Source organism: Homo sapiens, chromosome 14, assembly GCF_000001405.40.
Source record: "Homo sapiens chromosome 14, GRCh38.p14 Primary Assembly".
Classification (NCBI taxonomy): domain Eukaryota; kingdom Metazoa; phylum Chordata; class Mammalia; order Primates; family Hominidae; genus Homo; species Homo sapiens.
Window position 1 is genome coordinate 55,294,329 of NC_000014.9, and position 13,395 is coordinate 55,307,723.

The window sequence follows — 13,395 nt, forward strand, 5'->3', positions numbered from 1 at the left end:
CTGTCTCCCAGGCTGGAGTGCAGTGGTGTGAACACTGCAGTCTTGACCTCCCAAGTTCAAGTGATCCTCTGACTTCAACCTCCCAAGTAGCTGGGAGTACATACGCACACCACAGGGTTTTGCCACATTGCCCAGGCCGGTCTTGAACTCCTGGGCTCAAGTGATCCACCTGCCTTGGCCTCCCAGAGTGTTGGGATTATAGACATGAGCCTGGCCTCAAAAAACATTTGCTATATGTGTGAAGAGAAGAAAGGGTATAACGTAAGAAAGTTAGCTATAAAATAGTTTACATTTTAAATACTTATATTTGAAAGTATTATTTCCATTATTTAAAAAGTAATTTTAAAATTTTGCTTTTGGAGACTACTGTGTTCCATAATTACACCGGGGCAAACACAGCTGTGCTAAGTTTAAGAACTGTATATTCTGTTGGTGGAAAAGGACTGAATATTGCTTTGCCCAATACATCACCTGCCTCAGTCTTCTAGTGGTTTTGTGGTGAAGTTGCTTTCAGTGGTGGTTTAGTTAATGCTGTTTGACTTACGTCCCGATAAATCAGTTGAAAATAAATGCATTTAATATATTTAACCTACCAAATATCATAGCTTAGCCTAGCCTACCTTAAACATTCTTAGAATATGAACATTAGTCAACAGTTGGATAAAATCATCTAACGCAGAACCTACCTTGTAATAAAGTGCTGAATATCTCATTTACTTTATTGAATACTCAAAGTGGAAAAGCAGATCAAAATTTGAAGTGCAGTTTCTACTGAATGTGTATCACTTTTGCGCCATCGTAAAGTCAAAAAGTCATAAGTTGAACCATCCTAAATTGGGAACCTTCTGTAATGGAAAAAACCTCTAGGTTTGAATGTGTTCCATAGTGTCCAGATGGAACATCCCTTTCCTACTGGAGGTAGCTTTCTGCACAGTGCGGTGTGACAATGTTAATAGTTAGCTTTATTTATTTATTAACGTGGACTAGGCCTTATGCTAAGCATTTTATGTATATTATCTATTCTATATAATGGCTCTATGAGGTAAATATTCTTTTCTATTTTTTTTTTTTTTTTTTTTTTTGGAGACAGAGTCTCTCGTCTGTTGCCCAGGCTGGAGTGGAGTGGTGTGATCTTGACTCACTGCATCTTCTACCTTCTGGGCTCAAGCGATTCTCCAGCCTCAGCCTCCCGAGTAGCTGGGATTACAGGCATGCACCACCATGCCCAGCTAGTTTTTTGTATTTTTAGTAGAGACGGGGTTTTGCCATGTTGGCCAGGCTGGTCTTGAATTCCTGGCCTCAAGTGATCTGCCTGCCTCGGCCTCCCAAAGTGCTGGGATTATAGGCATGAGCCACTGCGCCCAGCTGAGGTAAATATTCTTCGCCATTTTTTCTTGCAGAAAATTGATTATTCATTAAACACCTTGTCTAGCTAGTAAGTGTTGAAGCTGGAATTCAAATCCAGCCAGTCTTACAGAGGAACTTCACTACACAAAACACTTTCCTGTTATAGTAAAGAATACTTTGAAGTAAAAAAGAAATTAGGAACAGCTTAGTGGAACAGTAATGTCACAAAGAGACCATTATCTTTTATTTGCTTTAGCTTCCCATGATTTACTAGATTGAATGAGACTGCTGTGACTGAAGCAGTAATGTTATGTTAAAGTTAACCAATGCTGTCAGGCACAGTGGCTTGCACCTGTAATCCCAGCTACTTGTGAGGCTGAGGTTGGGAGGATCTTTTCATGCCTGTAGTTGAAGACCAGCCTTAGCAAGTCCCCCCCTTTTTTTTAAAGTTAACCAATGCTAATTTAAATAAAGTAAATATATTTTAAATAAAGCCAGAGTTGGCTCCTAATTATCTCTTCTACTACTTAGACTTAGTTCAGGAAGAGTTTAGCTTCTTTTTGGGACAGAATTTTTATGTTCTCCCTTTATCCCTAAAAATTAGATTCAGCAGGAAGGCAAAAGTTGTAACTGTATAGCTGGACAGGAAGTATAATTTAGTGAAGGAGTAGAGGGGTAGACAGTGGGTAGGTTTTGCTGTTCTTGTGTTTTTTTTGTTTTTTTTTTTTTTTTTTTTTTTTGAGACAGTCTCGCTCTGTCGCCCAGGTTGGAGTACAGTGGCTTGATCTTGGCTCACTGCAACCTCTGCCTTCAGGTTCAAGCAATTATCCTGCATCAGCCTCCCGAGTAGCTGGAATTACAGGCGCCTGCCACCACACCCGGCTAATTTTTTTTGTATTTTTAGTAGAGATGGGGTTTCACCATATTGCCCAGGCTGATCTTGAACTCCTGACCTTGTGATCCACCTGCCTTGGTCTCCCAAAGTGCTGGGAATACAGGCATGAGCCACTGCGCCTGGCCGCTGTTCTTGATTTTTAAAAGAAAAACTTGCCCATAATTTACACAAAATTATAGTAGTGGAAACAGTCTTCCCCTACCTACTATAGAAAGCAATTTTTAATTTAAAATTTTGACTAGAATATTCTGATTCTTTAATGTGAATTAGTTTTGAACCTTAATTAGCCATTTGTCTTCTAAAAAAATATATTTTATTTCCCAACATGCAAATATTTGTTCTGTTCTAAGGAGCTTCAGACTGTACCTGGTTATCTCCAGTATATAAATCAGTTTTAATTTGTTTTAAAACAGTAGTTTAGGGGAGTAAATTAGAATCTACAATTGTAGGAAGACCCACCCTAATCTTAGGATGCAAATGTACTTTCCCCTTGACCGGCGTCATTTTGGCTGCCCTTTACAGTACACGTGGCTGGCAGAGAAGGGAAGATGGAGCCGCCATTTTGAACCTGATTGGCACAACTGCCGGCATATATGTCTGCAGCTCTATTTTATAGGCTGCTCTTTGTTAGGAAAGTGATTTGGGGCTGCTTTTCATTAAAAGGGAAACCTTACTGAGGACTCCCGTACCCTATCTACCCAAGTAATTTCTTTTTAACTCCTATGTCAGTATTAACACAGAGTAGTTCAAATGTTGCAGTCAGATTGCTAGGGTTCACATCCTGGTTTTGCCATTTACTATTTGGTGCCCTAAGTTAACACCTTACTAGCCTCTCAGTGCCCCATTTTTCTCATCTGTAATATTTAGACAATAATATTACCCACTTATTAGGGTTGTTAGGAAGATTTAGTTTAAAATACATGTTAAATGCCTAGCATATAGTAAGTGCACAGAGCATGTTAATTTTCCTTTCTCTTTGCCAGCAAAAACGATTATGTGATTTAGATATGGTAGTGATAGCCTCTATTGGAAATTTTGATAGGATTAGGTAATTTTAGATTATTTTTCTTTTTAGAACCTCAAAGAACACTTGGTATCATTACATGAAATGCTAAAATGTATATCTATGTGTATGTGCAAATATTTTCATAAAAGTCTTTGAAAAACCCTCTACTTCTTCCCAAGAAAGGATCTCACTAAAGATTATTTGGTAAAAAAAGAAATCTTGGAGCACAGCCAAAAAACCGGGAATGAAAAAATACTGTTTTCACACCCAGAAACTCTGTATGTATAATCAGAATTGTACATCTTAGGATGTTAGGGAAGCTTTCTTTGTTCCATGCAAAACAAACACTGACCGTCCACTTCTTGGACTTGAGAAATGTTGAAAGTTTCTTTACAAATGGATGTCTAGGGCAGGACTGGCAGGAGGAAATAATTCTTTTCTCAAAACACTTTTTTTGATTCCAGTAAGTGGAGGAACATTGTTGAAACTTCCCTCACCACGCCCTCTGCTGAGTGTTTGTGAAACTCAGGTGAGTTAAATGTGTAGCACACGCTTGTCCAACCTGCAGCTTGTGGTGGCTTTGAATACTGCCCAACACAAATTTGTAAACTTTCTTAAAACACTGTGAGTTTTTTTTTTTGCGTTTTTTTTTAAGCTCATCAAATATCGTTAGTGTATTTTATGTGTGGCCCAAGACAGTTCTTTCAGTGTGGCCCAGGGAAGCCAAAAGATTGGACACCCCTGGTGTAGTGGTTCCTCCCACTTCTCCCATACTTGACCCTTATTTGAACTAGGATTATTTCTTTTTTTTTTTACCCTCCTGGATGAGTGGAGGAAGTCCTTGAAATCTATTTTACTGCTACTGTTATTACTACTTTTTAAAATGGAAACATACACAGAAGTAGAGTCAGTGAGCCCTTATGTTTGTACCAGTTTTATCCTACCCCTACATTTGACCTACTTCTTGTCCTCATCTTTGAAAAAAGCAAATTTGGCAGGGTGGAGGCGGAGGAGGGCGGGCGCCGGAGCCCAGCCGGAGCGGGCGTTGAAGGCTGGCGCGGCGAGCGCTGTTCGGGGCTGGAGGGGGTAAGGCCGGCAAGGGCGGCCTGACCCTCCAGGAGGCCATCCAGCGGCTGCGGGACACGGAGGAGATGTTAAGCAAGAAACAGGAGTTCCTGGAGAAGAAAATCGAGCAGAGGCACGGCACCAAAAACAAGCCCGCGGCCCTCCAGGCACTGAAGCGTAAGAAGAGGTATGAGAAGCAGCTGGCGCAGATCGACGGTACATTATCAACCATCGAGTTCCAGCAGCAGGCCCTGGAGAATGCCAACACCAATACCGAGGTGCTCAAGAACATGGGCTCTGCAGCCAAGGCCAAGAAGGCGGCCCACGACAACATGGACATCGATAAAGTTGATGAGTTAATGCAGGACATTGCTGACCAGCAAGAACTTGGGGAGGAGATTTCAACAGCAATTTCGAAACCTGTAGGGTTTGGAGAAAAGTCTGACGAGGATGAGCTCATGGCGGAATTAGAAGAACTAGAACAGGAGGAACCAGACAAGAATTTGCTGGAAGTCAGTGGCCCCGAAACAGTCCCTCTACCAAATGTTCCCTCTATAGCCCTACCATCAAAACCTGCCAAGAAGAGGAAGACGACGACATGAAGGATTTGGAGAACTGGGCTGGGTCCAGCGCGGGCAGGATGGATGTGGTGCAGGCAGGTTCCATCGCTCTCGACTCTCACTCCAAAGCAGTAGGGCCGCATTGCTGCTCGCTCTCTGCATAGCATGGTCTGCACCTAGTGGGATGGGTGGGGGCGGGTAGAGGGGGGTTGCGGGGCACGGGGGCTGTGGGGGAGAAGTGCCTGCTGTTTATAATGTTGAATTTCTGTAAAATAAACTGTGTTTGCAAATCCAAAAAAAAAGCAAATTCTAGATATGTCATATTGGCCCTAATTACATCGGTATGTGTCTTTTAAAAAGATATTTTCCCCCCATAACCACAGTGCCATTATCCCCACCTAACAAAACTAACAGATTGATCTGTTGCCTTAGATCTGAGTCTTAGTATCCTCAGATTCCTTTTGATTATCTAAAATATTAAAATAAATATTGAAAATATTAAAATACATTCAAGTTTGTGGTTATCACTTTTAAATGACCCATTTTTCTTCATTTACATACAAATATTTTGTAAATGTTTGACTTTCTAGCTTGCTATGGAAATTTTCAAACAAAAGTAGGTGGAATCCGTATAAGAAACCCTCATGTACTTATCACCCAGCTTCAACAGTTATCAACCACTCTACTCATGTAGGAGGGGAAATTATCAAATCATGCCCAAGTTTGGTTGAACTGTTCCCCTCCAACTTCCCCCTCCTGAATTATTCTCAGGCAAATTCCAGAGTGGATATTATTTCATTGGCAGTCTAGTAAGAATCCTTGTCTTTTAAAGATACAGACTATATCTGCATATGTATATATCCACAATACCATTATCACCCCTTCATTCTTTAATATCTTCAAGTATCTAGTATTCAAATTTGCATTTGTCTCAGATGTCATAGTTTTAGTAATGGTTTAAATCAGGATCCATATAAAGTCTCTACCTTGCAGTTGGTTGGTAATGACCTTTAAGTCTAACCCTTTATAGGTCCATTTTTAGGCTTTAGTCTATAGTCCATTTTACTACCTCTCTTTGGTAATGTTTTTTGTTCAAGAAACCACGTTGTGGCCGGGCGAGGTGGCTCACGCCTGCAATCCCAGCACTTTAGGAGGCTGAGGCGGGTGGATCACGAGGTCAGGAGTTCCAGACCAGCGTGGCCAATATGGTGAAACCCTGTCTCTAGTACAAAAAAATACAAAAATTAGCCAGACCTGGTGGCACGCATCTGTAGTCCCAGCTACTCGGGAGGCTGAGGCAGAAGAATCACTTGAATCCGGGAGGCGGAGGTTGCAGTGAGCTGAGATTGTGACACTGCACTCCAGCCTGGGCGACAGAGCGAGACTCCGTCTCAAAAAAAAGAAACCACGTTATTTGTTCTAGTGTTTTTCAGAGTCTGGATTTTAATGATTACATCTGTGGTTCAGTTCAACACGTTCTTATGTCCTGTATTTCCTGTAAATTGGTGATTGAATCTAGAGGTGTGCTTAGCATATAATATATATGCACATGGTAAAATTTAAAACAGTTCAAAAGTCTGTGTAATGAAATGTCGGTCATTTTCCCACACAGTATTTTAGGTATCTTCCCCAGAAGGAATTATTCTGTCTAGAATGAATGATGTGTTTTTATTAAGCCTTATATCCCAATGAGCATACTAAATGTTCTTGTAATTCTGAATATACTAAGGTTATTCTTTTGTGAATTTTAGAATTTGATTTAAATACTACAAAAGCACATGGTGCCAGTCACTAAGGTGTGGTGTTTTCTTTTTGGTAAAGGAGAATTTGTAAGGTGAAATGACAGTGAATTAGAAGTTGTAAACCAAATTCCTTGTTACTACAGTGGACTACTTTTCATAGAACGAACAAGAAAAATCAGCTCTGTAGGACAATGTTAAAAAGAGTGTTCTTGGCTGGGCACGGTGGCTCATGCCTGTAATCACAGCACTTTGGGAGGCCAGGAGGGGAGGATTGGTTGTCTCCAGGAGTTTGAGACCAGCCTGGGCAACACAGTGAGACCTCCATCTCAACAGAAATTCAAAAATTAGCCAGGTGTGGTGGCATGTGCCTGTATTCCTAGCTACTCGGGAGGCTGAGGTGGGAGGATCACCTGAGCCCAGGAGGTCAAGGCTCCAGTGAACTGTGATTGTGCCACTGCACTCTAGCCTGGGTGACAAAGTGAGACTCTGTCTCAAAAAAAAAAAACAAGAAAAACTTCTTTGTTAATATTATACAGCATCTAGCATTGTTAGGTTTATTTTCTTAAACATGAAGATAGTGAAGTACCATAGTTTTCTCATCTGTAAAATGAGGGCATTACTGTATTTATATCAGTGGCCTTTGGTAGGTCTTGAGTGAGAAAGTATCTAGGGAGGAGACTTGAATGTTAATTTCCTTTTCTATAAGTATGTCCATAATTAATTGTGAAACTCTGCTCTCTTCAGTAGAAAGTTTTAGGTACAAGGCATGTGGCCAGGGATGTCATGCCCAGTGTAATGGGTTTGATTGGGATCAAGAACAAGTCTGTCAGAGTGAGCCAGGCAGTATTATCTGAGCCACTTGGTCAGGACAGGTTATGGAACAGTTAGAACAGATGAGTCATGTCATGTGTACCATACCACAGTCTACTTTTTCTTGGCCTCTCTCCCCATGCCTACTCTTCTGGTGTCTGTCTGGCAGATAGTACAATTCAGCAGATAGGCATTAGATCAGTTCTAAGCATATAGGAAGAATGATAATTGGATTACCAGCAAGGCAGAGTGGCAGATCAGAGGCCATAGGGAACTGGGACCAAATAAGGAGACTCTCCAAAAGATGCAAATGTAGCTCTAGCAGCAAGGAAAGGCAAACTGGTTGCAAAGTTACATGTGTAAAGTCGATTGAGAACAAAAATAAAGCAGCAGTCCTGGCTCCTTAAGTGATAGTTTCTTTTATGAGACCTCAAAACAGTTTACTGATAGGAGTATTCCATCTGAACTTCTAGGTTTGAATAGCGGGACATTACATGGAGGTGATTTTTTGGAATATATTTCTCTGTCAGCTATATAGAGATAGATAGGTAGATAGGTAGATTTGGACCTGGGATAATTGTCATCTGTTAGTTTACCTCGCCTGGTTGTGTACAAAGTTTGTATGATGTTAGACAGTTAATAGAATAGAAATTTTTAAATAGCCTTGTTCTCATCAAGTGACTCTGTAGCCTCTTTTTTGTTTTTTTTTTTTTTTTTAATTGAGGCAGGGTCTCACTATGTTGCTCAGGTTGGTGTGGAACACCTGGCCTCAGGCAGTTCTCCTGCTTTGGCCTCCCAAAGTGCTAGGATTACTGGTGTGAGCCACTGCACTTGGCCCGTATTATCTTGTTCGGGGGCAGGGAAGTATGGAGATACAGGAGTCTTTTCAAGCCTTTTAAACTCTCTTTAGTAGCTATTTTACTCATAGACTCTGTGGCTAGAGTAGGCTTTATAATTAGAAAGTAGTGCTAAGTGCTTACTTACTAGATACAGAAACAAGTTTTATGATGTTTCTTGGGTTTAGAGAAGAATTGGTTAAAGACTAAGAAATTCTGTTTTCTTCTTTGGAAAATCTTTTAAAAACTAATGTAAGTAGTTTTGGGGCAAATGCGGCAAAGAATTAGGGACTTGCCTTTGGTTTGAACTAGATGTGTTTCCTTTTTTTGGTGAATAGTGGAAGTAGTAAAGAGGCTAACAGTTGTCAGGGCTTGTCAGCCGATCATGGGATTGAATACTACTGAGGTGAGCAAGTCTTGGCAGCAGTGTTTTGCCTCCTAAAGATCTTTAATTTAGGCAAAGATAGTTTCTCTTTCTGGAATAAATTCTGAAAACAGAATAGTGCGTTTTAATGTGCATTAATTTCTCTTTACAGGCCTTTTTTTTTTTTAGCATTGGCTATTCTTTAAATTTTGAGTGCCTCCCTGTGTGTTAGCATCATTATAAGAACTGTCAGCTGTGAAAAAAGATGATGCAAGAAGGAGCACTAATTTTGATTTGCTTTGAACAAAGTAGACAGAGTGAACCTGCATAATTATAGTATCAGCTGGATACTCTGCTAAGTAATCTAATCCTCATCACAACTCTGTGAAATGTCAGACTCAGAAATAGTGACATGCTCAAGGCCATAGAACTAAGATGTAGCTTCTCTTAGGGCAGAATCCAGGCTTTATAGGACTTAAGATGCTATTTTGCTTTAAAAATTTTGGGAGGAGTGAGAGTCTTATATGTGTAAATGGGTATATCTAAGGTCATGATATCATAATTTACTAAGTAGACCAACTTTTATCAAGTATCACAAAGTAGAATTTGGTAGCTAGGACAACTCCCCTCTCCCATTCTTATCTTTTTTTTTTTTTTAATAGTTGTAAAGTTTCTGGGAATTTATGGGAACATACTTTTCTTTCTTTTTAAAAAAAAAACCCTTTATTTCCTTCTTCCTCATTTTGCTTCCCACTCCCCCTTAATAAAAATAGTAACTTTTGTGAAAGAGGGAGAATGATGTTATGAACTCAGCAGGTTCAGACAAGTGTTGTGAGTGTGGAGGCCAGGAAGCCATGTGTATGTACCAGGACCATGTTACTGCCTAAGAAGAAATGAGAGTGTCCAGATGCAAGGGAGGTGAATAGAGAGTCAATTTCAGTTCCCCTTGATTATTGTGATTTATGTGGTTCTTCTGGGACTGATGTAAAGAATGTTTCACGACTTACTGGGAAGCCCTCTGTTTTGTGTCCCTTGTAATAGTGATTTTACATCAGAAATAAGCCATCTGATAGAGGGAAAGAATAGTGTTTGGATTTATTGCTTAGTTACAGTGACATGTGTGCGGTTAAAGTGATGAAATTGTTTAGTATGAGTTAGCATATATCTTAATTCTAATGAAACTAGCTCTAAGTCTATGTTTATGCTTGTGATTTTAGCTTTTACTATGGTAACCTCATTTCTATCATTAAAAACAGTAAAAACTCTACCATGTATTGAGTGCTGTACTTTTTATGTTAGGAATAGCAGATTATTTTCAGTACTTGAAACACCAGCTCCTTAATTCATTAACACCATCATGGTTATTCTCATCCTTGAAAATCTTTCTCTTTTACTTTTTTTTTAATTTTTAAGATTTTTTTGTAGAGACAGGATCTCACTATGTTGCCCGGGCTGGTATAAAACTCCTGGCCTCAAGCAGTCCTCCCTCTTCAGCCTCAGAATGCTTGGATTATAGGCATGAGCCATAGCAGCCAGCCAGTCCCTCACCCTGCTTTTCCATTTTTGAGACAAGGTCTTGCTCTGTCACTCAGGCTGGAGTGCAGTGACATGATCTTAGCTCATTGTAAGGTCAAACTCCTGGGCTCAGGTGATCCTCTGCCTCAGCCTCTGGAGTAGCTGGGACCACAAGTACATACCACTGTGCCCAGCTAATTTTTACATTTTTAGTAGAGATGAGGTCTTGCTGTGTTTTCCAGGCTGGTCTCGAACTCCTGGCCTCAAGTGATCCTCCCGCCTCAGCCTCCCAAAGTGTTGATTATAGGCTTGAGCCATTGTGCCCAACCCACCCTAGCCCATTTTTATTGTAATAATCTTTCTAGGTTTGGAGCTCTATGAAACAGGTTTGGTTTTTCAAAATCTTTTTTAAAAAGATTTATTTAAAATATGTTTTTAACCTATTTTGTTTTTGTACTTTTTGGTGAAAATTATCATAGTCTGTTCCTATTCTTAGAGTACATTAGGGCAGGAGTTGCTGAACTCCCCTTTTAATCAACTTCCCTTTCAGTTTAGTTTGAGCAATAGATTTCTCTCACACCAGCATTTAACTAACCTCAAATAAAAATCCTAATTAGTGATTGGAATTGCAACTGAAAAAGACTATTTCAAAAATGAGTCTTGGCCGGGCCTGATGGCTCATGCCTATAATCCCGACACTTCAGGAGGTCGAGGCGGGTGGATCATGAGGTCAGGAGATTGAGGCCATCCTGGCCAACATGGGTGAAACCCTGTCTCTACTAAAATAAAAAAAGTTAGCTGGGCATGGTGGTGCGCACCTGTAGTCCCAGCTACTCAGGAGGCTGAGGCAGGGGAATAATCACTTGAACCCGGGAGGTGGGGGTTGCAGTGAGCCAAGATTGCACCACTGCACTCCAGCCTGGTGACAGAGTGGGACTGCATCTCAAAAAAAAAAAAAAAAAGTCTTAGTCCGGGTGCGGTGCGTGGTGGCTGAGGCGAGTGGATCACTTGAGGTCAGGAGTTCGAGACCAGCCTGGTCAACATGGTGAAACCCCATTTCCACCAAAAAATACAAAAATTAGCCAGGTGTGGTAGTGCGTGTCTGTAGTCCCCAGCTACTCGGGAGGCTGAGGCAGAATAGCTTCAACCCAGGAGGCAGTGGTTGTAGTGAGCCGAGATCGTGCCACTGCACTCCTCAAAAAAAAAAAAAAAAGTCTTAAAGCCTCTACAACAGGAGTCGTACAGGTGAGGGGGAAAGTCAGCAATAAAATTACGTTATAAAAATTTTTACTGAATTAGCTCAATAGCAGGATTTTTCCCGATCTGAATTTTATCCCCCACATTTCTCCCGGTTACTGCAAGTACTGTATCTGTGTATAAGGGTACACTGATTTGGCTGTAAAGTCATGATTTATCATTGTTGAGGCTGGTTTTTCATCTCCTTTCTGATTTTTGCTCTGAAGCCTGTCAACAGAGCCACAATGAGAAAGTATCACATTTTAAACCTGTGTGGTCTAGTAGTAAAATAGTTCAATGTTTGATCAACTGAACTTTACATTCTATCTTAAAGGCCTACTTAAATATGTGTGCATGTATATAATACATAGTCCTCCTCTTTTCCCAGTCATTAAAAACAATTTGAGTTTATGCTCAGTTTGAGTTTGTAGTAAGCCATGAAGTTGAGTTATGTGAACACTAAACTTCCAAAAAGTTGCTTAATTGCTAAATGTTTTGGACTTCATTATGATTAGGGAAAATGGAGTCAGGGAAACCATATGAGAGAGTAATTTGTTTCCTAAGGAATAAAAGCAGTAGAAACCCACAACAAACCACACATTAGCCTTTATGTTGTTACTTGTTGGCTTCATTCAGTTTGCACTTCTATTGTTTGTGAAACAAGTGGTTTTCTTTAGAGTTGCAATGCTTATATGTTTTTAAAGTTTTCCACTAAAGTCATTTCTACACAGCGTCATTTTGAAAATTACATGATGTCAGATCCAGTATCCAGTGCATATATTTTAAGTTAACAAATTATAGAAGGAAATAGTACGTGGTCTTTCAAACTTTTGTTTAAAAACAGGCTGGCTGGGTGTGGTGGCTCACGCGTGTAATCCCAGCACTTTAGGAGGCCGAGGGGGCAGATCACTTGAGGTCAGGAGATGGAGACCAGCCTGGCCAACATGGCGAAACCCTGTCTCTACTAAAAATACAAAAACTAGCCAGACGTGGTGGCACACGCCTGTAATCCCAGCTGTTCGGGAGGCTGAGGCAGGAGAATTACTTGAACCTGGGAGGTGGAGGTTGCAGTGAGCTTAGATTGCATCACGGCAGTTCAGCCTGGGTGACAAAGCGAGACTCCATCTCAAAACAAAACAAAACAAAACAAAAAACAGGCCATATTTAGGTCTTACTAAATGGAAACCTTTCTCAAGTAGTGCTTTTCAAATAATAAAAATTTTTATTGTGTAAAGGAGGAAGGGAACTTAGCATCTGCATTGGAATCATTTTTTCCTATATCCTATTAGCTAATTCCGAGATTGTTTAATATGGTATCCACCCATTTCATTTGGCTCACCCTTTGCTCTCATGAAAGTAAGACTGATTGTTCTGAATTGCTATGTATATGTGCTTTGGCACAGCATGAAGGTACCCTTAATCACATTGCCATTGTCTTTAAAACAGCTTGCAGTTATGGCTACAAATAAAAGGGTGTGACAGGAGGGCATGACAGATAATGGTTCTTTTTTCCGCCCCTCTGTTTAGCAGATCTGCTTTGTACTACTAGCCTTTTGTGTTCTCTGGACTACCTACTGTATTTTCAGTATGTTTTTCTAGTCAACTAAAATGTGTTTGCATATTTGTCACTGCAACTTTAAGCGGACCTCTTTGAATTCTTTTCGTGGAGGCAAGCAAAACAATGTGCGGGAAGAAGGTGAGTGGCCTTGCTGCTGTTGGCATTTTTTCCCCCACTTCTGTGATTAAACACTTAAGCTGTTAAATTATTTTGTGTGACTCTTGTCCTCCAAATGTTTATTTACTTCTGTCTGGTTTAGAAATTTGGTTATAATCCCTTTACTTCACTGCACATCTTTACCTTGTAATTTCTTTATAAACAAGGTAGAAAGAATGGCTGGCGATTTGAGTGTTTAAGTTGCTGAGAGATAACCTACTGACATGAGCAAAGGTTTTTTTGTGTCCTACTTGATTCTGATTTAAAATAACTTTATCAAGTGATGGAGGAAAAAGTAAATATAA

At 40.3% G+C, this 13,395-nt stretch overlaps 1 protein-coding gene and 1 pseudogene across 14 annotated transcripts in view, besides 3 other annotated features; both read left to right on the forward strand.

Moving 5' to 3' along the window:
• The window catches only part of FBXO34 (F-box protein 34), a 171,629-nt gene that overhangs the window by 22,908 nt on the left and 135,326 nt on the right, over nucleotides 1–13,395 (forward strand). Inside the window, exon 1 of one of the 14 annotated variants that reach the window (XM_017021393.3) lies at nucleotides 9,902–13,072. The exons of the other annotated variants lie outside the window; for them this stretch is intronic. The gene's annotated coding sequence lies outside the window, so the exon portion shown is untranslated. Of the gene's footprint in view, nucleotides 1–9,901; nucleotides 13,073–13,395 lie in introns of those variants that run through there. 14 annotated transcript variants of the gene reach the window in all.
• On the forward strand, nucleotides 4,280–5,168 carry CHMP4BP1 (charged multivesicular body protein 4B pseudogene 1; annotated as a pseudogene).
• Nucleotides 7,443–7,737: a silencer, noted in NCBI's record as "tiled region #9702; HepG2 Repressive non-DNase unmatched - State 8:EnhW". NCBI's record gives its function as "represses a minimal TATA promoter and a strong SV40 promoter by Sharpr-MPRA in HepG2 cells {active_cell/tissue: HepG2}" and the evidence as "EXISTENCE:reporter gene assay evidence [ECO:0000049][PMID:27701403]".
• Nucleotides 8,214–8,273: an enhancer, noted in NCBI's record as "active region_8429". NCBI's record gives its function as "activates an Ori minimal core promoter by ATAC-STARR-seq in GM12878 lymphoblastoid cells {active_cell/tissue: GM12878}" and the evidence as "EXISTENCE:reporter gene assay evidence [ECO:0000049][PMID:35858748]".
• Nucleotides 8,324–8,423: an enhancer, noted in NCBI's record as "active region_8430". NCBI's record gives its function as "activates an Ori minimal core promoter by ATAC-STARR-seq in GM12878 lymphoblastoid cells {active_cell/tissue: GM12878}" and the evidence as "EXISTENCE:reporter gene assay evidence [ECO:0000049][PMID:35858748]".